The sequence below is a fragment of the Homo sapiens genome, chromosome 21 (assembly GCF_000001405.40).
Source record: "Homo sapiens chromosome 21, GRCh38.p14 Primary Assembly".
Classification (NCBI taxonomy): domain Eukaryota; kingdom Metazoa; phylum Chordata; class Mammalia; order Primates; family Hominidae; genus Homo; species Homo sapiens.
Window position 1 is genome coordinate 30725976 of NC_000021.9, and position 27126 is coordinate 30753101.

The 27126-nt window shown below is 34.5% G+C and overlaps 1 protein-coding gene and 1 pseudogene across 1 annotated transcript, besides 2 other annotated features; both read right to left on the reverse strand.

Moving 5' to 3' along the window:
- Positions 15747 to 16247: an enhancer, noted in NCBI's record as "H3K27ac hESC enhancer chr21:32114040-32114540 (GRCh37/hg19 assembly coordinates)". NCBI's record gives its function as "activates a minimal SCP1, AML or CMV promoter by ChIP-STARR-seq in naive H9 embryonic stem cells {active_cell/tissue: H9 hESC(naive)}" and the evidence as "EXISTENCE:reporter gene assay evidence [ECO:0000049][PMID:30033119]".
- Positions 15806 to 16639, reverse strand: KRTAP21-4P (keratin associated protein 21-4, pseudogene; annotated as a pseudogene).
- Positions 16248 to 16748: an enhancer, noted in NCBI's record as "H3K27ac hESC enhancer chr21:32114541-32115041 (GRCh37/hg19 assembly coordinates)". NCBI's record gives its function as "activates a minimal SCP1, AML or CMV promoter by ChIP-STARR-seq in naive H9 embryonic stem cells {active_cell/tissue: H9 hESC(naive)}" and the evidence as "EXISTENCE:reporter gene assay evidence [ECO:0000049][PMID:30033119]".
- Positions 20819 to 21284, reverse strand: KRTAP21-2 (keratin associated protein 21-2). Its single transcript, NM_181617.3, has one exon. It carries the CDS (start codon positions 21225 to 21227, stop codon positions 20976 to 20978), a length of 252 nt encoding a protein of 83 aa, NP_853648.1. The 5' UTR covers positions 21228 to 21284; the 3' UTR covers positions 20819 to 20975.
- Positions 21285 to 27126: the final 5842 nt, after the last annotated feature.

The window sequence follows — 27126 nt, forward strand, 5'->3', positions numbered from 1 at the left end:
AAGAAAGATGGTTTGGCAATTTGGGGAAAATTCTCACTTCTGTGGTCTGGGGCACAATTCTTAGCCAACTTTGAGGTGATAGGGATATCTTCTCAATCATGGATGTGCATTGTATTTCGTGGGAAAACTTTAATAAAATGCCAGTACTCCCATCTCAGACCAATAAAACCAAAATCTCAAAGGTGGGACTCAGGTATTGCCATTTAATGGAATCTGACATGCATTCGGATTTGAGTCACTGCTCTAAATAAAGGAAAGCTTCAAATAAATCTGAAAGTGCAATATCTGAGAAAAGCAATGAATCTGAAATCAAATCAGTCTGAAAGCACAATATCTGAGAAAAGCAATGAGTAGGTACAAGGGGATTGAAAGGCATGGGGAGTGGATGCTGCAAGGCTGAGAAACTTACAGGTAAAAACCATCTCCAACAATGGCGTGGCTGCATTGGAGGCTTTCCTTTCAGCTTCTCTGATCTGTTTTCTCTATTCCTTATCTTTTCTTTTCCATCTTCTCTTCCTTTTAAGTTTTAGGAATGGCAATGACATTGAATTAGGGTTGATGGTGGAGTTTTACCTTTGTTCTCTAACTACTTCTAAGTTTTGGAAGAAACAGGAGGACCCATGTTTCTTCCAAAACTTAGAGGTAGAATTGGAAAACGGGTGAATGTTTTCTTCCAGAACTTAGAGGTGAATGTGGGAAACAGATGAATGCTGGATTACGAAGTCCCAGTGAGGGAGTGGGCTTCAGGAGGTGAAGGTGTACTTCACTGGGATAGCACACATGAAAGGGTATTGAAGATTTGGCAAGGCTTGCTTTTTTGTGAAACATGGCTGGATAGGACTTCAACTTCACAGAGTTGTAGGCTATTCAAAAATAGTCCAGGAACCAGCAGCATTAGGATCACTGTAAACTTGTTAGAAAGGCAAATTCTCAAGCCCCACCCAGAAAAACTGAATCAGCATCTCTGGAATCAGCATGTCTGAGGCCCAGAAATCTGTTTCAGCACAGTCTCCAGTGATTCTTATGCATGCTGAAACTGGAGAACCATAGCTATAAAATAAATGAGTGAAGAGTCTGCTGTCTTGACTTCATCCTGTTTCCAGTCTATTCACTACGAGATTTTATTGGTATTTATTTTGGTGTATTTATTTATAACCAATACCCTTGAGAAATTTATTATTTATTTTTAATATTTTTAGCTGTTCTTTTAGGTTTTCTGAGTCAATAGCCAACTCACCTAGTCTTACATTAGCTGCATGCATTATTTCATCTTATTACCTTATTAATTTTTTTAAATGGTGATGGTGGACACCATTATCTTACTCATTTGTGGGAATTTTTAGGATTTCAACCATAAACTTGATGTTAAAATTTGTCTTGTAAAAGATAAATATTCCTCACAAATTTTACTAATCACTTTTTTTTTTTACTGTGAATGGACGCCGAATTTCATTTAAAAAGAACGGAAATCATAACAAACAGTCTCTCAGACCACAGTGTAATCAAATTAGAACTCAGGATTAAGAAACTCACTCAAAACTGCACAACTACATGGAAACTGAACAACGTGCTCCTGAATGACTGCTGGGTAAATAATGAAATTAAGGCAGAAATAAATAATTTCTTTGAAACCAATGAGAACAAAGACACAATGTACCAGAATCTCTGGGCTACAGCTTAATCAGTGTTTAGAGGAAAATTATTAGCACTAAATACCCACAAAAGAAAGTGGGAAAGATCTAAAATCGACACCCTAACATCACAATTACAAGAACTAGAGCAGCAAGAGCAAATAAATTCAAAAGCTAGCAGAAGACAAGAAATAACTAAAATCAGAGCAGAACTGAAGGAGATAGAGACACGAAAAACCCTTCAAAAAAATCAATGAATCCAGGAGGTAGTTTTTTGAAAAGATGAATAAAATAGATAGCACGCTAGCCAGACTGATAAAGAAGAAAAGAGAGAAGAAGCATCAAATAGACACAATAAAAAATGATAAAGGGGATATCACCACAGATCCCACAGAAATACAAACCACCACCAGAGAATATTATAAACATCTCTACACACAAAAAACTAGAAAGTCTAGAAGAAATGGATAAATTCCTGGACACACACACCCTCCCAAGATTAAACCAGGAACAAGTTGAATCCCTGAATAGACCAATAACAAGTTCTGAAATTGAGGCAGTAATTGATAGCCTACTAACGAAAAAGAAGCCCAGAACCAGACGGATTAACAGCTGAATTCTGCCAGAGGTACAAAGAGGACCTGGTACCATTCCTTCTAAAATTAATCCTAACTATAGAAAAAGAGGGACTCCTCCCTAACTCATTTATGAGGCCAGAATCATCCTGATACCAAAACCTGGCAGAGATACAACAAAAAAAGAAAACTTCAGGCCAATATCCCTCATGAAGATTGATGCAAAAATCCTCAATAAAATACTGGCAAACCAAATCCAGCGACACATCAAAAAGCTTATCCTCCACGATCAAGTCAGCTTCATCCCTCAGATGCAAGGCTGGTTCAACATACGCAAATCAATAAACGTAATCCTTCACATAAACAGAACCAATGACAAAAACCACATGATTATCTCAATAGATACAGAAAAAGCCTTGGATAAAATTCAACACACTTCATGCTAAAAGCACTCAATAAACTAGGTATTGATGGAATGTATCTCAAAATAATAAGAGCTCTTTATGACAAACCAGCAGCCGATATCATACTGAATGGGCAAAAGCTGGAAGCATTCCCTTTGAAAACTGGCAAAAGACAAGAATGCCCTCTCTCACCACTCCTATTCAACATAGTGTTGGAAGTTCTGCCCGGGGCAATCAGGCAAGAGAAAAAAATAAAGAGTATCCAAATAGGAAGAGAAGAAGTCAAATTGTGTCTGTCTGGAGATGACGTGATTGTACATTTGGAAAACTGCATCGTCTCAGCCCAAAAACTCTTTAAAGTGATAAGGAACTTCAGCAAAGTCTCAGGATACAAAAATCAATGTGCAAAAATCACAAGCATTTCTATACACCAATAATAGACAGAGAGCCAAATCATAGTAAACTCCCATTCACAATTGCTACAAAGAGAATAAAATACCTAGGAATACAACTTAAAAGGGATGTGAAGGACCTCTTCAAACAGAACTACAAACCACTGCTCAAGGAAATCAGAGAGGACACAAACAAACGGAAAAACCTTCCAGGCTCATGGATAGGAAGAATCAGTATCGTGAAAATGGCCATACTGCCCAAAGTAATTTATAGATTCAATGCTACCCCCATCAAGCTACCATTGACTTTCTTCACAGAATTAGAAAAAACTACTTTAAATTTCATATGGAACCAAAAAAGAGAGTATATAGCCAGGACAATCCTCAGCAAAAAGAACAAAGATGGAGGCATCACACTACGTGACTTCAAAGTACACCACAAGGCTACAGTAAACAACACAGCATGGTACTGGTACCAAAACAGATACATAGACCAATGGAACAGAACAGAGGCCTCAGAAATGATGCCACACGTTTACAACCATCTGATCTTTGACAAACCTGACAAAAACAAGCAACGGGGAAAGGATTCCCTATTTAATTAATGGTGTTAGGAAAACAGGCTAGCCATATGCAGAAAACTGAAACTGGACCCCTTCCTTACACCTTACACAAAAATTAACTCAAGACGGATTAAAGACTTAAACATAAGACCTAAAACCATAAAAACCCTAGAAAAAAATCTAGGCCATACCATTCAGGACACAGGCATGGGCAAAGACTTCATGACTAAAACATCAAAAGCAATGGCGACAAAAGCCAAAATTGACAAATGGGATCTAATTAAATTAAAGAACTTCTGCATAGCAAAAGAAACTGTCATCAGAGTTAACAGGCATCCTACAGAATGGGAGAAAGTTTTTTCAATCTACCCATCTGACAAAGAGCTAATATCCAGAATATACAAGGAGCTTAAACAAATTTACAAGAAAAAAAAAACATCAAAAAGTGGGTGAAGGATATAAAAAGACACTTTTCAAAAGAAGACATTTATGCTGCCAACAAACATATGAAAAATAGCTCATCATCACTGGTCATTAGAGAAATGCAAATCAAAACCACAGTGAGATACCACCTCATGCCAGTTAGAACGGCAATCATTAAAAAATCAGGAAACAACAGATGCTGGAGAGAATGTGGGGAAATAGGAACGCTTTTACACCGTTGGTGGGAGTGTAAATTAGTTCAACCATTGTGGAAGATAGTGTGGCAATTCCTCAAGGATCTAGAACTAGAAATACCATTTGATCCAGCAATCCCATTACTGGGTATATACCCAAAGGATTATAAATCATTCTACTATAAAGACACATGCGCAAGTATGTGTATTACAGCACTATTCACAATAGCAAAGACTTGAAACCAACTCAAATGCCCATCAATGATAGACTGGATAAAGAAAATGTGTCACATATACACCATGGAATACTATGCAGCCATAAAAAAGAATGAGTTCATGTCCTTTGCAGGAACATGGATGAAGCTGGAAACCATCATTCTCAGCAAACTAACACAGGACAGAAAAACACACCACATGTTCTGACTCACAAGTGGGAGCTGAACAATGAGAACACATGGACGCAGGGAGGGGAACGTCACATACCAGGGCCTGTCGGGGCTTGGGGACTAGGGGAGGAATAGCATTAGGAGAAATACCTATTGTACATGATAGGTTGATGGGTGCAGCTAACAACCATGGCACATGTATACCTATGCAACAAACATTCACGTTCTGCACATGTATCCCAGAAATTAAAGTATAAAAAAAATTAGTTTTAACTAACATCCAAAATGGATTAACAGTTCATCAATTAAAAAAGTCTTTGCAACATGAATGAATACTTTTCATCTTCTTTAAACTAATCATGTGAATTCACAATATGCACTCTCCCAGCAGTTTTAGAATGAGCACTACTTAGTGAAGGGTCTTTTGAAATATAATTGTAACTATATGTAAAATACAACTGTTTTCTATAACATTTTACCTTTTTGCCTATATAATCAAAATGAAAGTATTATTTATGTGCTCAGTTTCACAAGTTTGGAAGCTTTCCTACCTTTTCCTGTGATCTATAGATTACTCAAACTCTTCAGAATTGTCTCTTCCTTGAAGTCTTTGAAGCTATCTGGATAGCTTTTAGGGGTAGGTGTAGAACAATTTCCTCAAGAATTTCATAGATACTAAACTACATATATTTCCTATCTATTTTAGCAACATTCAGCAATTTAGGTCTTCCTGGAGAAAATACATTTTTCTAGATTTTAACATTTTTAACATAAATCAATAGAAAGTATTACCCAATAGCTTTGACTTCTGTGTCAGCTGGCTTTGTCTTCTTATTTATCCCTAATTTGTGTGCTTGCCTGTTTTTTTCCTTCTTTGAAAAACCACTTAGATATTTATCACCAAGGTACAAAAAGCTCTTGGATTTATTATACTTTATACTGCTTTTCAGTTTTCTATTCATTAATTTTAGCTAAAATTATTTTCTCCTGCTTTTTTTGTCTATTTTTTCTTTATATAAATTTTCAAATTCAGTAGCTTTTTGTTCCATTTTTACATTTATATAATAAGAATGTAATAAAGGCGCTTAATTCTATAACTTTCCTGTAAATACAGCTTTGGCAATATACCAGAGGTTTTTATATGCAGTCTCCTTGCTTATTAAATTTTAATTTATTTTCTTCTTTGACTACAAAATTGTTTATTCTCACATTTTTTAACACTATTTTTCTTCTGTTATTTATTTCTAGCTTTCTAATATTGTTCCCAGTGTCTATAACCTACACTAATTCTATCTTTTGGAATATATTGATGTTCAATTAAAAAAAAAAACCTTACAAGTGCTTAAAAGAAGGTGATTTTCTGTAGTGCATGGAGTTTATTACATAGTTTTGAAATCTTTTTAATTTCCCATTCATTTATCTGTGTTCAATGTAATCTTTTAAGGACTAAAGGAGGCAATTAGTTTCACACTAGTACTGATTTTCTGCCAATATCTCTAGATACAACATTTACTTTGGTTTTGACTTTATAGATTTCAATACTATGTCACTTGTTGAGTTACATTTCAGTAAAATATAAGCCTCCTTTGTAATTGTTTAAACATGTTACATTTATTTAAAGTTTCATATTAAATTTGCAAACATTTTTATATTTGTTCCATTTGATAACTAATCTTCACATTTAATTTTTAACTTCTGATTTATTTTTACATGTGAGTCTCATAGAAATTATGTAATAGTATTTGTAGTTTGCTTTTGTATTTACTCAATTTATGTATTTATTTGAAAAGCTAAATTTGTCATGTATATTTGTATCTTACTTCTGTCTCTTAATATAACATTTTGTTTTACATCCTTCCTTTTTGTGTCCTTTATTTTCTCTATTTTGTTTTATAGTCTGGGTTTCTTCTATTTCCGACATCCCCAAATTACCTTTATTTTTATTGTTATATTCACTGAACATTTTCCTAGTTTTCTAATTATTTTTACTCTTAGCACTTAATTTATTTCTTTAGGTTTTAGACATATGTTAATTATCTATACTAAACTGTATGTTTAAATGGTTTTAATACTTAACATTACCCCTTGGAACCAAAACTCTCCTATTTATCAATTATTTGTTCCTATTCAACCTTCAGTTGAGTAGTGTATATCTTCAAGTAGTTTTGGGGTTTTTTTAATTGTTTTACCTTGCTTTGTTTTTCCATTTTCCAAGTTACATTAGTAATCCTTCCTGGAGGTTTGCATATTTGAAAATAATTTAATGTTATCTCAATCTATGAACAATATTGGGGTAAGGTTAAAATTCTTGATGTAGCAACTCTTTTCCTCAAGATATTGTAGTTGATATTCTATTTCCTTCTGATTTCCTAGCTATGGAAGAAAAGGACAGAATTGTTACTGTTCTCTTTAGATGGCTCTCCCTAGTCCCATGTAGGTTTCGGTTTATTCATGAAGTTCAATAATCCTGGTAAGTTATGTTTTGTTGTTTCTGCTTTTCATTTATCTTGATGAACATTGACAACTCTTGTTATCAGTAGATTTAATTTTTTCAATTTAATAAAATTTTCACCTACTGTACCATTTAATGTTTTTGTTTCTTTTTTTTTTCAATTGTTTTCATTGAAGATACCTGTTATGCTTGTTTTGGAGTGCCGTCATCTTCTGGACAACATCTAATTGGATGCTACCACCTTCTGGTCACTTTGTTCACCATGACTATTTGTTGGATTCAATATTATATTTTTCATGTCTATCCTCTATCACTGATACATTTTTATTCATATTATTTTCTTTCTTTCTTCACTTTAAAATCTTTTCTGATATTATTTCTTCCCTCACTTTATTTTCTAATTCTACCAATACCTTTTCTTATCTCAATATAGTGACTTATTTAATTTGGTATTGAGTTGATCTTCTTAATTTTTTTTTGGTATTAAGCAATACATTCTAAATTTTTCTTCTGGTTCCTAGTGTAAATCATTTTCAGAAATATTGTTCTGTGTATGTTTTTAGTAATATATTAATCTTCTTTGTTGTTGCAAAACATTTACAACAGTCCCATGCTGTGGTGTGTTTTTTATTCTTTTTGGGAAAGTTCATTCAAGGTTACTATCTTTCATTAAGTCTTTTTTGTTAATCTGGGAAATACCCGAATCCATTCCATCTCCATATCTGGATTAAAACCTGCAATTTCACCACCATCTTATTCTGAATTTTTTCCTTTTCCTTTCCTTCGGTGCTTTGAAATAGCTCCAACTATGCCAAAGATATTTTAAAAATAAATGACTTACTTCACAAAAATACAGATATCTATATATTTGTGGAAAAGGCTGATTGGCTTAGGTAAAATTGTTACTAATTATGCAATTTGTACTAAATGGAATTTAAAAATCAATGGTAAAACCCAGGAAACTTGTAAAAGACCTTAGATTTAGAAATATTTGCTTGAGGCAATTCGCTAGGCTTCTGAGGGCGAATATTTCAAATCATGTTATTGCTACTGCAGTCTCTCTTCATCACCATACTAAAGGTGTCTATAAGCCATTATTTCTTATCACAAAAGCTGCCAATATAAAAATCAAAGCACAACAAATAGCAAAACACACTGTGTCTCCTGCTGTAAAACCTGCTGTGGATGCAGATGTGTGTCCACTTTGAAGTGTCAAGAACTAACCAGAAATTTTGAAATGTTTGTGAATAGATGCTTAATTTTACCTAAAACCAAATAAGCAATACTGTAGTTGATTCGCTTATAAAAGGTAACCTATTATTGGCTTACAACCAATAAATGATTATGTTATAAAAGGTAATCATTCATTGGATTACAACCAATAAATGTTCTAAGATATACAAAAAGCAGACTTCCTATCACAAAGGAAACTTTATTAGAAATCTCATTCTAAGCTCCTATTCTTAGAATATTATGATCACAACAATGCAGAATCAACAAATACAAGTGGTTTTTTTTCTGAGTGTCTGAGTTTTTATGTCTTCCAAAAATAAGGTATAAATTCTAAAAACTGAAATCTTTTCATTGATTTGCAAGTACTTAACAATAAAATGTTTGAAAGTGACTCTCAAACTTGTATGGAGAGGAAGAGTATTTACATGCAAGGACAAAGAAGGAAACTATATATAAGAAGATGAAGTCAAATATACAGAATGTGTTGGAATTCACAATCTGGGATAAAAATAACTGGCACCTTAGGTCACTAGATAGTCTATAGCCAGAGCAACTAGAACTGTATGGACGTCAAGAGAAGACTCCTACCCCACAGACTCAACAGGAGCCAGAGGCATCACTTTCACCAGCACTGCACAAGCACGCTGGTTGGTTTCCACACCTCTCTGCCAGCAACAACCGTAAAAACTGTTACCTGTCTGATGATAAATAAAATTAAAATAGTATGGATTTTTTTATTTTGAATTTTCCTAACTACGAGTGGATTTGAATATCTTAATATGTTTGGACTATTGTACTTCTCTTACATAGAATGTCTACTTATAATCATCTGCCTATTTTTCTATTGAGTTATATAACTTTCTATATATTAAGACATTAATATTCCTGTATTATCCCCATTCGTCTCTGGGTTTCTGTTCATGATAGAGGTCTCCATTGTGTGTGTGTATATGGACGTGTGTGTGTATAATGTGTGTGCATTTGTGACTGTGTTGTGTGTGGATGTGTATGTGTACTCCCTTGGTTTTTCTTTTTTGCAGAGGGCTTTTTTAATTTTCATTTTGCTTTGTTTGTTTTTTCACTTCACTTTTTATACTTAAACTGTTAATATTTCTGCAATACTTTTTACAGATAGTTTAACTGAAGATCCACTTTTATTGTTTTCTAGATGGACGGTCAGTTGTATTGGCACTATTTCTCAAATAATTTTTTTTCACCATGTTGTACTATGAAGTTTACCTTATGTTATATTCTCAAAAGTACTCAGATGTGTTTCTAAATTCTTGTTTATATTCCTTTTTATTTTTCTATTCTTAAACCAAAACAATATTCTCATTTCTCATGAGAGAAAATTTTCCCTTGAGTCCTGATAATGTATTTTATGCACATTTTGAATAATTTTATTGAATAAAGAATCCAGTAGATGTCTTAATTTACGTATCAATTTAGAAGATTTAAATTTTATGATAGATCTTTCCGGTCAAGATTACATCTGCATTTCCATTTCTTCAGCTTTTTATTTTCTTTCATAAGATATTCTATTATAGTATTGTGCAAATTGAATAAGTCTTTGAAACTTTCTTTCTAGCTTTTCCTGAGCATTGTATAGTTATAGCACATTATCAGAATCATCTCCATTTCTAAATGTAGGTAAGCAGAAAATCTTTTTAAACTTATTTTTCTGGTGTTCATACATCTTACAAATTTTCTGATTAATTTTGCTATATTTGTTTTACTTTAATAGCTTGAGTTTTCTTTGCACACAAAGATATAATCAAAAAGATCATTTCTTTTTTCCAATGTTTTTGCCTATTATTTTATTTTCTTCTCTCTTTGCACTTGATAATGATGTTGGCAGCTGCTAACCCTGTCTGCTTCTTAATAATAACTAAAATTGCTTTATTATTTGGCTGAAGTAGATAAAAACATGCTGCTTTTGCTATTTGGTTAAAATCCTTTATTATATTTAAACAATTTTCTTCTATTGTATTTTATTTCAAATATTTCAAGGTAAGAATTATTTAACTCTATCAAAGACTTTTTCTCACCTAAATATGCAATCTGAGCCAATATTTGAAGCTTACATGTCACTTACAATCTTCAGAATTTTGAAAAAGGATGGCACATATCAATTTTCAGAAAACAGCTATTGTTGTTATGAAGATTTTCACTTTAATCAAGGATATCTGTGTTTTGTTTGCCACATAATATTAATCTTAGAAAAATGTGTGCATTTCTGCAGTAGAAATCTACTCATCTCAAAACATGTCCTCAATGACAAATTTTCATGATAAATTTGTAATAGTGTTGCAATGTCTAATTGCATTGATTTACATCCCAGTCGCATTTTATATCTCTTGATCTTACAGTAAATTTAACATTCTGATTACTGGTACTGCTTCTCCTGTCTTCAGAATATCCCAAGTAGTAATTTTCAGACTTATTTTCAAATCCTTGCTTGTCAGCATTTGCCACAATTAGAATATTGCAAATATTTAAGGAATACTGTTTTGTTTTTTGTTTTTTTCTATTTTGGAGCCCTTCTTTCATTTTAGTTACAATTATTTCCCAATGAAAATTCATTTCCCTTGCCTCATGCCAAGATTGCAAAAATTAGTTTTCCTAAATTGGTTGTTCTACTTTCAGGATTTAATGTCTTTATAGAAAATTTTAATTCAAAACTAAACTTAAATATGTTATGATTTTTCATAGCATTTTTCATTACTATAAAACTTTTTAGGTTCTTTTTAGTCCCATTAAGTATGGTTACTTCCCCTACGAAATATAGTGACTGAAGTGCTATCCCAGCTTCTCACTATGGATCCCAGGCAACTTTCTATAGCTTGTCTGTAATCAAGTTTCTGATAGCCACTAGTCTTTGCATCTTTAAAAACTACATTACATTTCTCACTCTCAGACTAATTTACGATTTTTTTTGGCGGGGGTAGGAACGGAGTTTCGCTTTTGTTGCCCAGGCTGGAGTGCAATGGCGCCATGTTGGCTCACTGCAACCTCCACCTCCCAGGTTCAAGCAATCTTCCACCTCAGCCTCTCAGGCAGCTGGGATTACAGGCACCCGCCACCATGCCTGGCTAATTTTTGTATTTTCAGTAGAGACAGGGTTTCATCATGTTGGTCAGGCTGGTCTCGAACTCCTGATATCAGGTGATCCACCTGCCTTTGCCTCCCAAAGTGCTGGGATTACAGGTGTGAGCCACCACTCCCAGCCTGCAAATGTTTATAAAGTGGAAAATCTTTTGAAATTAGAGAGACCTGTGTCAGAATCCTGGCTCCACCATTTATAAACTGAACAAACATAAGAAACGTTCTTCAACTAATTGAGCATCAACTAAAAATGTGTGTGATAATATGTACCCCAATCATTTGTTCAATTTCTATTAATTGAACGTTAATGAAGAAAACAAATACAAATCCTGAGAAAAATATCTTAATGTTAAACTAACTGCAATGTGATGAAAGCATTTTATACGATAAATTATTGCTGAGACCACTGCATCAATTCACTGGACCTGTAATCATAACATATATTCAATTCCACAATTATGGAAAGTGTGTATCTGCTACTTGAAAACATTTGGTTGGAAAACATTTTATTATTTTAAATGGAAAACAATTCAGATCCTTATTTCAAATTTTGATATCACTGAAAAGATTAGTATCGTAGGAAAAGAGATCATGTTGGAGAGTATGACTATTTTGCTTATATTCATAATTTTAGATGTTACATCTGGAGATTTAAGAAAATATAAACGTTAATTATAGAACATCTATCACTAATTACAGGGAATATGTCTTAGAGAGCCCTGTGCATAAATGTATTAATTAGTCTCTTAAAACCCTGATTACTGCTTTCCCTTTGCAGCCTCCCATAGAGCAAAGAAATTCATTATAATGAAGAGATCTTACAAAAATTCACATTATGCAAATTGCCTTTGGAAATACTATGAAATGTGAACCTCCCAAAAACTTTGAGAAGATATTTTATCCCATGTTATATGTAAGAAAACTGAGTTTTAGGGAGCAATTGTGTTACTAAACCAAAGTAAGAAAAGAAATAAGTAGCAAAGAAATATGCCATTGAGGACATAATCCTGGCAAATGATCATCACCTCAACTGTCCTTGAAGAGTTACCAGAATGAGATGACTGTTTCCCAGGGCAACTGAACTATTACCATATTATATCTCCTAATCTCTCTGCATCCTAGTGTGAGTAGGTTGCTATATCCCTTCAAGAACTGAAACAGACCATATTCATTATAGCATTAATCCATGAACACATTTATGAGTTCCTCTGCAATGGCTTTACTAATCTTGTTCCTCTTTTCCCTGCTTTGAGTTGCATTTTCTGTACAGATCCCAGAAATCCAGAAATACTGACTCTAACAGTAGGTAGATGCTTCAAAGCTCACTTTGAACGTGATATACTCCTTCCTAACTCTGCAATAGAATCGAGCATAATTTTTTCTTTTTGGGTCACATTATTCTTATTCATGTTGCCCTGACCCAACCTTCAATTATTTTTATTATAGAATCACTAAATTACAAAGTAGAAGTGAATAATGTGAATGAATTAATTAAGCCCAAGTTTTGAATGCACATATTTACTCAGACTTTTCTAACTGAAGATGCAAATTCTTCAACAACTTCAGGATAGAAATGTTTACAAGACAGCCTATTCCAATTTCACACTATTCTAGCCTTTAAGAACAAGTTTCTTTGTTTTTTGCTTTTTTTTTTTTTTTTTTTTTTTGAGACAGGATCTCACTCTGTTGCCCAGGCTGGCGTGCAGTCGTGCGATCATGGCTCACTGCAACCTCAACCTCCCAAGCTCAAGTGACCCACCCACCTCAGCCTCCTGAATAGCTGGGACTACAGGTGTGCACCATCATGCCTGGCTAATCCTTGCATTTTTTTCATAAACATGATATTTTGCAGAAAAAACAATTTATCTTGTAAAATTTATTTGTCTTTAAATTCTACCCATTGAATCTTGTGGTCTTCAGTGGAAACACAAAGCAGAATAAACCTAATTTTCTGTCTCACACATACACACAAGAAGTCTTTGAAAAATGCCAAACAACTTAAACATAAAACAAGCATGAAACAGAGTACAGAGATAAACTCATTTACAAGCAATAACGGAGAATAGAGGTGGCAACACCAACCAATGACAAAGGGTTTAGTAGGTGGTGTTAAAGAAGCTGGCTTAATTCAGTGAAAAGGGAAACTGGAGCACCGCATATAAAGGTAGGCTCCAGCTGGACTAATGATCTGAGTGTGAAGTGTAAAACTTTAAAAATAATAAAAGAAAATGTAGCATATCTTTGACATAAAAATAAGGTAGATCTTCTCAAAAAATAACAAATCATAGATTTAAAATGTTTGTTCAATTATGCACGATATGAGCAAAAATAAATGATAGTTTTGGCGATATTTGCAGTGTCTAAAAATGACAAGGAAATTTATCAAGAATATACAATGAAGTCCTACAAATCAGTAAGAAAAAGACAGAAATCTCAATGGAAAAATGGGCAAAGGATATGGAAGAGAAACCACAAAGGTTAACACATACTGGAAGAAATGAAAATGTTCAAACCCGTTAGTAATCAGAGATATGCAAATTAAAACAGCAAGATAACTTTTTACTTCTCAAAAAAACATTAAAAGGTGATATAAAACAATATTGGCACATGTTTGAGGACATATAAGCTGCAATTTGGCAGTTTGGACTGATGCAGACATCCTGGAGACTAACCTGATGGTACTTACTAAAATAAAATATAAACACATCATTTGTCTCAGCAATTTACATTTTGGATTGATTCTCATAGAAGCCCATGGAGGACATGTTCATTGCACCAGTGCTGTGCTGAAGAGGCTGGGTGTGATTTAAGTGTGCATCCCTGAGATACTGAATGGACAAAATCTTGTGTATTAACCACATGGAGTACCAACCAACAATTAGAAATGATAGTTTAAATCTACACATAATAGCATAAATGAGACTTTCAACACAAATAGCACTGAGAGAGAAAAGGTCTTCAGAGGATATAAAATAACACCATTTACATAGATTTAAAATATTTAATAAAATGACCGACTTTCTTGGGACTTTGAAAACATGAATAAGGATGGTTGCATATGAGATAAATTGCAATATGGCTATAAATGAGAGATGAAGGTGGAAACCAAAAAGAAATAAAAGAGAATAAATAAATTATTATGTTAGCAAAATATTAAAACACATAAAGATCCATGCGTGTTCAAACAATAACATTATATGAATAGGGGAGTATATTAATCCTCTACATTTCAAGAAAAAAATTAGTGAAGACATCAGTTGTGCACCTGCCCTAACTAAAATTGATGTAAGGACATATATTAATTTACCTAAGATTTTGCTTGCTCAGCCTTTTGTCCTTTCCTCTTGATCCCCAAGACCTATAAAATTTGGGCACACATTCTTGGCTGACTAGCACAACCCCAGTCCACAACCCCCTTTTTTTTTTCATTACACCCATCTTCAGATAAGAGTGGCCGCAGAACACATGTGTCCAAACAGGGCAGTCAAAAGTCTTCCAGGAAGTGTTCACCTTCCCCACAATGAAGGAAAAAAGTTTTAAAAGGCCTGATGTTCATCATTTATCCTTAGTCGTGCAGGATGTTGGTCATACACAGCAACCACTTTGAAACCATGAGTATGAAAGTCACACAGCAGGAGTGGGGAGTGGGAAGACAAAAGGGTCCTGATGTTTTCTGACTTCCTTGAGCATTTGTAGTAGTCTTATCTGCTTGGTGCAATATTTCTTGTTTTATGTATTTTGAAAGCTATTAACATTAAATTAATAATGTTGCCTCTTAATTCCCGTGACTTAAGCCCAGGACAGCCAGTCATTTCAGGACTAGTGCATTAACCTCGTAAGTAGATTCCTTTTCTCACTAATCTCCTTATTTTAGTCCTTTGGTCATGCATATTATAATATTTTAGTGTGATGTTTGTGTTTGTGTTTAGATATGAATGTAAATAATTAACATACAAAGAATTTAGAAAATACGTAAAACAGCCAATATTTGGATTCAACCAATAAAATATTATCTTATTTTAAGTTGCCATCACCCATCTTGTAAGGAAGCCACAAACCCTGAAACTAATGCTGATTCTGACATGAGACCAGTTTTCCTACTGAACAAGGCTTTTTATTAAGAAACTTCCATTTTTATTCCCTTGTAGTATGCACCAATTACGTGGCCCTCCTGTGCTTTTTCAGAAATCCACAATACAAAGACAGAGAAGATGATGTAAAAATTTACAATGGAAAATTAATCAGAATAAAATCTTCTGTCTTCAGTGATGTGATGGAACTACTCAGTCTCCATCCACTGCAAACAGCTTCTTGTATGTTCATTCAGATAGTTAGTGGACCATAGTTAATCTTTACTTAGATGTGAAGATAATGGGTAGGGGAGATTTCAACTGGACTTGATCTTGGAGAGGTCATCATTAAGGCAAGGATCATCTGTGGTGATGATTAGCAGCAAGAGGAATAGCATCTTCTGTAGCAAAATGGTCGACAGCCCCAGCAGCCAGAGCTGTATTTACAGCCGTAGGGAGAGCCGAATCCATATCCAGAGCCATATCCACAGCCATAGCCAGAGGCAGAGCCATATCCACAGCCATAGCCACAGCCAGTTCCATATCCAGAGCCATATTGACAGCCGGAGCCATATCTACAGCCAGAGCCATATCCACAACCATAGCCACAGCCAGTTCCATATCCACAGCCATAGCCAGAGCCAGAGCCATATCCACAACCATAGCCAGAGCCAGAGCCATATCCACAACCATAGCCACAGCCAGTTCCATATCCACAGCCATAGCCAGAGCCAGAGCCATATCCACAGCCATAGCCAGAGCCAGAGCCATATCCATAACCATAGCCACAGTCAGATCCATATCCAGAGCCGTATTGACAGCCAGAGCCATATCCACAGCCATAGCCAGAGCCAGAGCCATATCCACAGCCATAGCCAGAGCCATATCCACAGCCATAGCCAGAGCCAGAGCCATATCCATAGCCATAGCCACAGCCAGATCCATATCCAGAGCCGTATTGATAGCCAGAGCCATATCCAGAGCCAGAGCCAGAGCCATAGCCATAGCCATAGCCAGAGCCATAGCCATAGCCAGAGCCAGAGCCATATCCATAGCCATAGCCACAGCCAGAGCCATATCCATAGCCATAGCCACAGCCATAGCCATATCCATAACCATAGCCAGAGCCATATCCACAACCATATCCAGAACCACAATCATATCCACAGACAGAACCCCAGGCAGAGCCATATCTGCATATGTCCTCTTAGATCTGCCTTTGCTGCATCCCAACGTTTTGGTATGTTATGCTTTTATTTTCGTTTGTTTCAAGATATCTTTAGTTTTCCTTTCTTTTTATTCTTGACTCATTTGTTGTTTATGATGATGTTGTTTAGTTTTCATATATCTGCACATTTTCCAAAATTCCTTCCATTATTGATTTGTTGATTCAAACCATTGTGGTTGGAAAAGATACTTAATATAATCACAGTCTTCCTAAATATATTAAGACCTGTTTTGAAACACATTTCAAAACAACAAAAGAAAACTTAAATATGTTAAGACTTCTTTTGAAGCATGTTTTCTGTGTTTTGAGCAGAATTGTATTCTGCTGCTGTTGGATGAAATGTCCTATATACGCCTATTAGGTCCATTTGCTCTAAAGTATAGTTCAGATCTAATGGTTACTTACCTATTTTCTATCTGAATAATCTGTTCATTGATGAAAGAATAATAATAATAATAGTATAATAAAATACAATAATAAAATAATAGTAATATTACATTGTAAATGTCTCTTCAACTATATTAATATTTGCTTTACATTTTTAGGTGTTTGACATTGGGTACATATGTGTTTATAATTGTTATGTCTTCTTGATGAGTTAATCCATTTACCATTATATACTGACTTTCTTTTCCTTGTTTTACAGTTTTTTTTAATTCAAAGTCTAATTTATTTGATATATGTATATGGTCTTTTTTTGTTTCAATTTGCATGGAATACCTTTTTCCATCCTTGTTCTTTCAATCTATATGTGTCCTTAAAAGCAACGTGAGTTTCTTGTAGGCAACATTTAGTTGGGTCTTTGTTTATATATATACGGATATATATATATATGAATATATATACGAATATATATATATGAATATATATACGAATATATATACGAATATATATACGAATATATATACGTATATATATACGTATATATACACGAATATATATACGTATATATACGAATATATACGTATATATATACGAATATATACGAACATATATACGAACATATATACGAACATATATATGAACATATATATATGAACGTATATATGAATATATATATATGAACGTATGTATGAATATATATATGAACGTATGTATGAATGTATATATGAATATATATATGAATGTATATATGAATATATATATGAATATATATATGAATATATATATGAGCATTTTCTTGTTTTCTGGGTGTTTTGTAGATCTTTTCTTTCCTCCTCTCTGCTGTCTTCCATTGTAATTAGATAACGTTTTTCTACTGATATATGCATTCCACAGTGAGTACTTCCTGGGATCCCTTCAATAACTGAAATAGATCCCACACATTATTGCAGTAATATCTTACCACTCTAATGAGCGCTTCTGCAAGGGTATTACTAATCTGTTGTCTTTCTTTCTCCTGCTTTGGAAACCATTTTCTGCATGGACTCCCAGAAATCATTTAAAACTTGATCTAACAGTAGGTTAGCCTCAAAACTCATGTGAAACCTTACATTCTTCTTCCTAACTCTATAATAAAATTGAGTATTATTTCTTGGCATTATAGGCCATATCATTCTTATCCAGCTTGCCTACAACTAACATTCAATGATCCTTTACATATACAATCACAGAATTTCAAAGTAGAAGTGAATGATGTGGATAATTTAATTAGGTCCACGTTCAGAGTGCAGAATTACTCAGAATTTTCTAGGGGGTGGAGATACAAATTATTCAATAACTTCAGGATAGGGATGCTAACAAGACAACTTATTCCATCTTCATACTGTGTTAGCCATTTGAAAAGTGTCTTATTTTTTTAAGTCTTCCTGTCTTTAAATTCTATCCATTGGACCTAGTTGTCTTCAGTGAAAAAACAAACCAGAATAAACCTAATTCTGTATCACACATATACCTTCCCTGCAAAACCTTTTAAAAATGCTAAGAAATATAAACATAAATCAAGCATAGTACAAAGTCCAGAGACCAACTCTTGTATATGTGATAAAATCATAGACTAACGATGGTCACCACCAATCAGTTACAAATGGTGAGCTGTTTAGTAGGTGGTGCTGGAGAATCTAGCTTAATATAATGAAAAATGAAACTGGACCACCATATATAGAGGTGGACTCCAGGTGGATTAATGATCAAAGAGTGAAATGTAAAAATTTTCAATTGACAGATGTAGAATATCAATGAAATAAAGATAATATGTATCATCTTTTAAATAACTAAAAAGTCAGAAATTACAGTTTGCAATGTGGTGCAATTATGCACACTATTAACAAAAATAAACAAATGACAGTTTGTGAGATTTTTCCAGTGTCAAAAATAACAAGGGAATTTTATTAGGATTATACAATAAATGCCTACAAATCAATAAGAAAGAGACAGACACTTCTGTTTAGAAAATGAGCAAAGGATGTGGAAGAGAAAACATTAAGGATAACACATATGGAAAGAAAATTGTTCACACCCATTAATAATAAGAGATACATAAATTAAAACAGCAAGATGATATCTTTGTCACTGTGCAAACAAGCAACATTAGCATGTTAGAGTAAACAAATATTGTTACATATGTGAGGACAGATTTTGGGATTGACTTTCATAGAAGCCCATAAGGGTCACGTGTTCATTGCAGCAATGTTGTGCTGAAGAAGAGCTGGGTGTGATTATGTGTGCATCACCGAGATAGCAAAAGGCAAAATCTTGTGTATTAGCCACGTGAAGTATCATATGGCAATGAGAAATAATAGTCTAAATGTACACGTAGTAGCATAAATGAATCATTCACTGCAATTGTGCTGAAAGAAAAGGGGTTTTAAAAAATATATATAATAATACAATTTAAATAGGTTGAAAATATATAGTAGAATGGCCAACTTTTGGGGGATACTGACAAGATGAAAAGGGGTATTGCATATAAAATAATAAATAACAAGGTGTTTATGAATGAGAGATGAGTGTGAGAATGGAAATAAAAGATAAATGTAAGAGAATAAATAAATTACTCTGTTAGACAAAAAAAAATAGAAAAAGGGAAAAGAGCTATGTGTGGACAAACAGTAATATGATATAAATAGGACAGTATATTAAGCTCAAACCTCTACACTTGAAGGAAAAAAATGAGTGAAGTCATAAATTGTACCCCTTCCCAAACTCAAATTGCTGTAGGAACATATGGCCATTTACCTGAGGTTTTGCTTCCTCAGTCTTTTGTCCTTTCCTCTTGATCCCAAAGACCTACATACTTTGGGCACACATGATTGCTGACTAGCAGAACCCCTGAACACCTTTTTGTTCTTTACACACCTTTAGCTAAGAGTGGTCACAGTACACATGTGTACAAACAAGGGCAGTCAAAATTCTTCCAGGAAGAGTGTCCCTTCCCAAATAAGAGGACAAAGTTTTAAAAGACCTGATGCTCTTCATCATTTGTCCTTACTTGTGCAGAATGTTGGTCATACACAGCAACCACTTTAAAACCATGAGTATGAAAGTCACACAGAAAGGGTGGGGAGTGGGAACATAAAAGAGCCCTGATCCTTTCTCACCATCTTGAGCACTTGTAGGAGACTTATCTGCTTAGTCTAAGATTTCTTGTTTTACATATTTCAAAAGCTATTAACATTAAATTAATATTGTTGCCTCTTAATTACCTTGACTTAAGCTCAAACAAGATAGTCATTGCTGAACTAGTGCATTAACCTCATGAGTAGATCCCCTGTCTCATTCTTGGTTCTATTCTAATTCTTTTTTCATGCATATTTTAAAATTTTGAGCTTAATATTTGTGTTCATGTTTAAATAAAAATGTAAAGAGTTAACATACAAGGAATTAAGAAATATGTAAAACACAAGTATTTGGATTCAACCAATAAAATAACGTTGTCTTATTTAAAGTTGTGGTCACACAGCTTTTGAGGAAGCCACAAAACCTCAAATTAAGGAGACATTAAGGAGACCAGACTTCTTAGTGAGTAAGGCCTTTTATTAAGAAAATTCTATTTTTTTTCCATTTTAGTATGCTCCAATTATATAGTCCTCTTGTGTTTCAGCAAATAGTCATGGCACAAAGATTCAGAAAAAGATGTAAGAGCTTACATTAGAAAATTACACTAGAAAATTAATCAGAATAAAATCTCCTCTCTTCAGCGATGTGATGAAACTACTCAGTCTCCATCCACTGCCAACAGCTTCTCTTATATGCATTCAGATAGTCAGGTGACCATAGTCAACCTTTACTTAGATGTGAAGATAATGGGTAGGGGAGATTTCAATTGAACTTGATCTTGGAGAGGTCATTGCAAAGCCAAGGATGACCTGTAGTGATGATTAGTAGCAAGAGGAATAGCATCTTCTGTAGCAAAGTGGTCGGTAGCCACAGCAGCTAGAGCTGTATCCACAGCCATATCCACAGCCAGAGCCGTATCCACAGCCATAGCCACAGCCAGTTCCATAGCCAGAGCCATATCTACAGCCAGAGCCGTATCCACAGCCATAGCCACAACCATATCCACAGCCGGAACTCCAGCCAGAGCCATATCCACAGCCCCCACAGCAGTTTCTGTAGTAGTTGCAACACATGATTTCAGGAGGTTAGATTTCAGTTGAGGTGTAGGAGGATATTTCTGAAGTGTGACTGTCCTCTACTCTTCTAAGACCTTTATATACTTCCAGGGATGCATGGGTCATCCTCACATGGGCTCTATTTGCTCATTTTATAATCATCTGCCTAAAATGAGCTCATTCTGTGTACATCTACTTTCTTTGGAATTCATAATTTGCTTATGACTTCCCTAGGAATATTTTTATGCCTGAAAAGAAAACAAATATACAAGTTCTAAACACACAAGCTTATACAACCATAATTTTGTTTTCCATAGTTTCATTTCATAGCCATGACATAACACATCACCAAAATATGTTTGACCTATAAATGTATGTTTATCTTTCTGTTCTTGTAAGGTCTTGAGAATTATCTATTTAATAAGGAGTTCTCACTGCTCTTAATACCATCATCATCATCATTTCTTCTTATTCTTTCCTAATACCTTGGTGTTCTTTTCTTATCATAGTCACTAAAAATTACTAAATCATGGTTTTTGGACAAAGAATTGGGTATTTCCACGTGCTACCTCAACTTCTTGAAACCCTCTCCTTCTCTCTGAAGAAAAGTTTGACCATTCCCCCCTTTTCTAGGCAGTCTATGACCTTCTCTTGCTTGAAAAAAAAATTTTTGTTAAACGTCTGACAGGTCAGTTATGTAATATGTGTCATTTAAAATTTATAGAATAAACTTTTGATTTTTCCATTTAAAGTGAGGGGAATTCCTTGGTTCACAACTTTGTTGTTGATGTCCAGTTGTTAAATTCTGTTCTTAAACACAGGTTTGTTTGTGTTTAAGAACCGAATTAACAATTGGATATCCATAATAATTGGACCACTCTGATGTTTATGCTGTACATCGGTGCTTTCTACTGAATAATAATTTCCAGCATATCCTGGACCCAAAACTGAGGTGGAGCTTCATTGGATATCCTTAACCCACACTGCTGATACCTTCTACTGCCCTTCTGTGCCACACCCAAAAATGCAGGAGCTCTGTTTCCTCCTGCAATGTCCCTGCTGCATCCTCTCCTGAGAAAACTTGAAGCCATGCTCACAGTGAAGGAGAAATACTTAAAGGAATCCCATCTATCAGCACAGAGAATATACTGAAGGATGAATTAGATGCTGAGGGGCCACAAATTGATAATCAGTACAATGTCCTCCATGTTCCAGAGGCTCTGTAGTAGAAATAGCTTTCCCTGGAAAACAGATTGGTTAATTTCCTGACTGAGTCTTTTCCTAATTATATGACCATGGAAAATGTCCTCAACTTAGATGAACCTCAGTTTCTGCAACTGCCAAATGGGAATAAAAATAATTACTTTTATTTAAAATTTTATTAAGAGGCCTACAGAAAATACACAGGCAATATAAGTAGTGTAGCAATGACCCTGATACATGGTGGAGACAAAACTTTTTCTTTCTTTTCCCCTTTTCTTTTGCCCAAATATAAGCATTCCTAAACAGTAACAGCTTTTCAAATTTCTGTATATACTTGTATTGATCTATTTGTTGTACTAAAATTTTGAGATTTGAATTTTAATTTTGCTATTTTTAAAGTATGTGATATACATATGTGTAAATATACATATGTCAAGTAATGTTTTCGTAATAAACTTTCAAAAGTGAGCAAATGCTCTCAGAAAATGAACTTCCATGTAATTGACCTCAGTTTACCTTGCCTGAAGCATTTTATACAATAATGTTTTGTAAAAATACAGAATCAAGGAACACATCACAGGGCTACCAAAACAGTGTGGTAGTGGTATAAATATAGATAAATAGATCATTGAAAAAGAAGAGAGAACCCGGAAATAAAGCCATATTATTTATAGCCAGCTGTTCTTTGACTAAGTCAACACGAACATACATTGGGGAAAGGATATCCTCTTCAATAAATGATGCTGGGAAAATTGGATTGCTATATGCAGACGAATGAAACTGGACCCCATCTCTCACCATATACAAAAATCAACTCGAGATGTATTAAAGACTGCAATGTAAGACCTGAAACAATAAAAATACTGGAAGAAACCCTAGGGAAAACTCTTCTGAACACTGGTCAAGGCAAAGAATTCATGACAAATACTTCAAAAGTATGCAATGAAAACAAAAATAGATGAATGGGACTTAATTAAACTAAAAAGCTTCTTCACAGCAAAAGAAATAATTAACAGAGTGAACAGACAACCTGAAGAATGGGAGAAAATATTTGCAAACTATGCATCTGACAGGGGACTAACATTCAGAATGTACAAGAAACTCAAACACTTAAACAACAAAAAAAACCACAAATAATTTCATGAAAAAAGTGGACAAAGAACATGAATAGACATTTTCCAAAGCAGACATCCCCTTTTAATTTTTGAGTCACACTTACATTTATTACTTCATTGATTCTTATAAAAACAATGTAAAGTAAGTTGTGTTTTTTATTATTTTCCAGCTTTATTGAGGTATCAGGGACAAAGATAATCATATGAGCTTAAGTTATACAATATGATGATTTGATATACATATTTACTGAGAAATGATTGACACAATCAAGTAAGTTACCACAATAATCACATAATTAGCATTTTGGTTTTGTTTTATGGTGAGAACAATTAAGATCTCCCCTTAGCAAATTTCGAGTATACAATAGAGTATCGTTAACTATAGTTAGTTACCGTGTGGTAAATTGTATCTCCAGAACTTATTCTTCTTGTAACTGAAGATTTGTACCCTTAAACTAACATCTTCCCATTTCTTCCACCTCCCAACCCCTTGGCAACCACCATTCCACATTCTGTTTTTTGAGTTCTACATTTTAGATTCCACATATAAGTAAGATTACTCAGCATTTGTCTTTCTCTGGCTGACTTGTCACTTAGCATAATGCCTTCCATGTTTATCCATGCTGTTGTCAATGGCAGGATTTCTTTCCTTTTTATAATATTTCATTACAAATATACACCACAATTTATTTTTTCATTCACTCATTAGTGAACAGTTAGGTTGTTTCCATGTTTTGGCTATTGTAAATAGTGCTGCAACAAACATGGGAATGCATATATCTCTTTGAGCTACTGATTTTGTATCTTTGACATATAAACCCAGAAGTAGGGCTAGATCGTGTGGTAGTTCTAATTTTCATTTTTTAAGGAACCTCCATATTGTTATCCATAATGGCTGTATGAATTTATGTTCCCATCAAAAACAGTGCACAAATGTTTCTTTTATTGCACTTCCTCGCCAACACTTGTTATCTCTTATCTTTTTTATAATACCCATCACACCAGGTATGAGGTGATAGCTCACTGTGATTTTGATTTGCATTTCTCTGATGATTATTGATGTAAAGCAACTTTCATGTACCTAATGGTTTTTGTTTTTACACACGTCGCAGATGTGAAAACAGAAGCCACAGGTAGTTGTCACTTGCCCAAGGACTCTCAGCTGTTTAGTGGTAGAGTCAAATCGATTTAACTCCTGCAAGAATATTAAAGCTCAGGAAGGACCCATAAATTATTTTTTCCTTTAGTTTTTCAAATGGAAAATATGCACTTCATTTGACTAAAATTGCCAATATTTTGCCACTTTTGTCTTACACCTCTATCATCTGGATTTTCTTTCTTTGTGATCTTTACAATCCTAGCCAAAATGCCTAAAACTCTATACCATCTTCTAGTACTTTCATAATTTAACCTTCATGTGCAGAACTTTAATCAATGTGGAATTTCTTATGTGTATAGTGTGAGGTAGGTATTTATATCATTGTATCTAAACAGATGGGAGATTGATCAATCCCATTGCTGTGATTTAAATGTTTGCCCCCTTCAAAATTCATGTTGCAACTTAATTGCCATTGTGAAGGTATTGGGAGGTAGGACCATTATGAGGTGTTTAGGTCTTGAAGGCTCCACCCTCATAAATGGACTAACACCATTATCACAGGAGCAAGTCTGTTATTGCGGGAATGGGTTCACCCCGTCTTGCTCTCTCTCTTGCCCTCTCTTGGTCTTTCACCATGTGATGCCTTTTGCCATGTTTTGATGCAGCAGGAAGACTCTCACCACTTTGATGCTGGATTTTCCAGCCACCAGAACTATGAGCTAATAAATTTCTGTTTATCATAAATTACCCAGTCTCGGGTATTCTGTTGCAGCAGCATAAAACAAACTAAGACACACATTTACTGAATAAACTATCCCAGATGGAAAATTTGTCTACACAGGGACTTTGCTCCTCCCCTGAATTCTGCAGCACTGGCAACTGTGGTCCTATTGCCTCAGGCTGATCTACTCCTTATACCTGGATAACATGGTTAGACTTCCTAATCTTTGCTAGTGGCCTAACATGACTTCTCTTTCTAGCCAGTGTCCTTACCTGGCCAGTTGGTTATGATTGGCCCTCTAGGACAACACTCTACAATAGAAATATACCATGAAACACATTGAGAAATTTAAATTTTCCAATGTCCACATTTTAAAAAGATAAAAAGAAACAGGTGAATTAATTTTATACCATATTGTATTCACCCTAATGTCTCAAAATATTATCATTTAATATATAACAAATAATTTAAATGTATTTGATACTTTCATTCTTTTTTTTCTATTAAGTCTTTGATATCTACTCTGTATTTTACACTTACAGCGCATTTCATTTTGAATTATCCCCATTTTGAGAACTCAACAGCTGGCTAGTAGCACCATATCAGACAGTGCAGCTTACTCAAGAGACCTGATAATTCTTTTATGGAAGTGGACACTGATTAAAATTTCCCAGTGGGGCCTCCTACTCTTTCAATAAACTGACAGCTTATTTTCTTCTTTCCTTGAATTTCTTGGCCTTGAATTCCATTTTCCGTCTCTTGTAACTGACCAAATCTACCTCATCCTTTATGGCTCTGTTCCTATCATTCTTTGGAAGCAATTTCTGACACTTGTCGAGCCTTCTCTTTCCACATTCTGATTTAAGTTTCCCCCTTGAGCTCTTCTTGGTAACACCATCGTACCTACAAGCATACCTGCTATGTATGATTTAGTATTTTGTGCCCAGCTGAAGATTCTGAATTCTTAGAAGGGACTATGTGTTTTATCTCTCTGTCTCCATACCAATCACAGCACATAGCTGAAACATGAATCTTAATGTTTGTTAAAGAACAAATTTTACAATTTAGATTTTACAATTTAGAGCCTCTACAATATGTAATAATGTATCCCAAAAAAAGACTTTTGTGTTTTTTTTAAAGGAGCTTTGAAGCTTAAATCATTTTCCAACCACAGAAAGTATTGTGAAATATAAATAGTTTTTCCTTTCCTCCATAATGTGATTACATATGTGAATTCAAATATTCGTTTTTCCCAACCTCCACCAAACAGGCCACACCTACATGAGCATCTACACACACACACACACACACACACACACACACACACACACACAAACCTTCTCTAATTTTATCATCTCTGTCTCTGTTAACATTATCACCATTTTCTCATTGCACACAAGCTGAATGTCTCAAAATTTTCTTAAACTGAGATAATCACAATATTTCAGGTTTTGAAGATAAGTTAAGTGTTATCCACTGCTTGTAATACTATAATAACTTCAGAGTTCCAGACAGCACAGTTAGTCCTCAGATCTGACTCACAAATACTCCAGATGGGAAAGCTATCCTGCTCTTGGAAGAAACCCCTATTGTCCATCAGTCGGACAGATTCTATCCTGGACATAGATTTCCTCCTGGGCTGATATTGATTGTAGGGCTATCTTTCTTAGAGCCAGGCATTTTGTGGGGTCACCCAGCTCCAGGGACCTCAGAGAGCCAGACTTGGTGTAATGGTCCCTGTTGTGTGGATGAAACAGGGACACATTTATTACTGCTGAT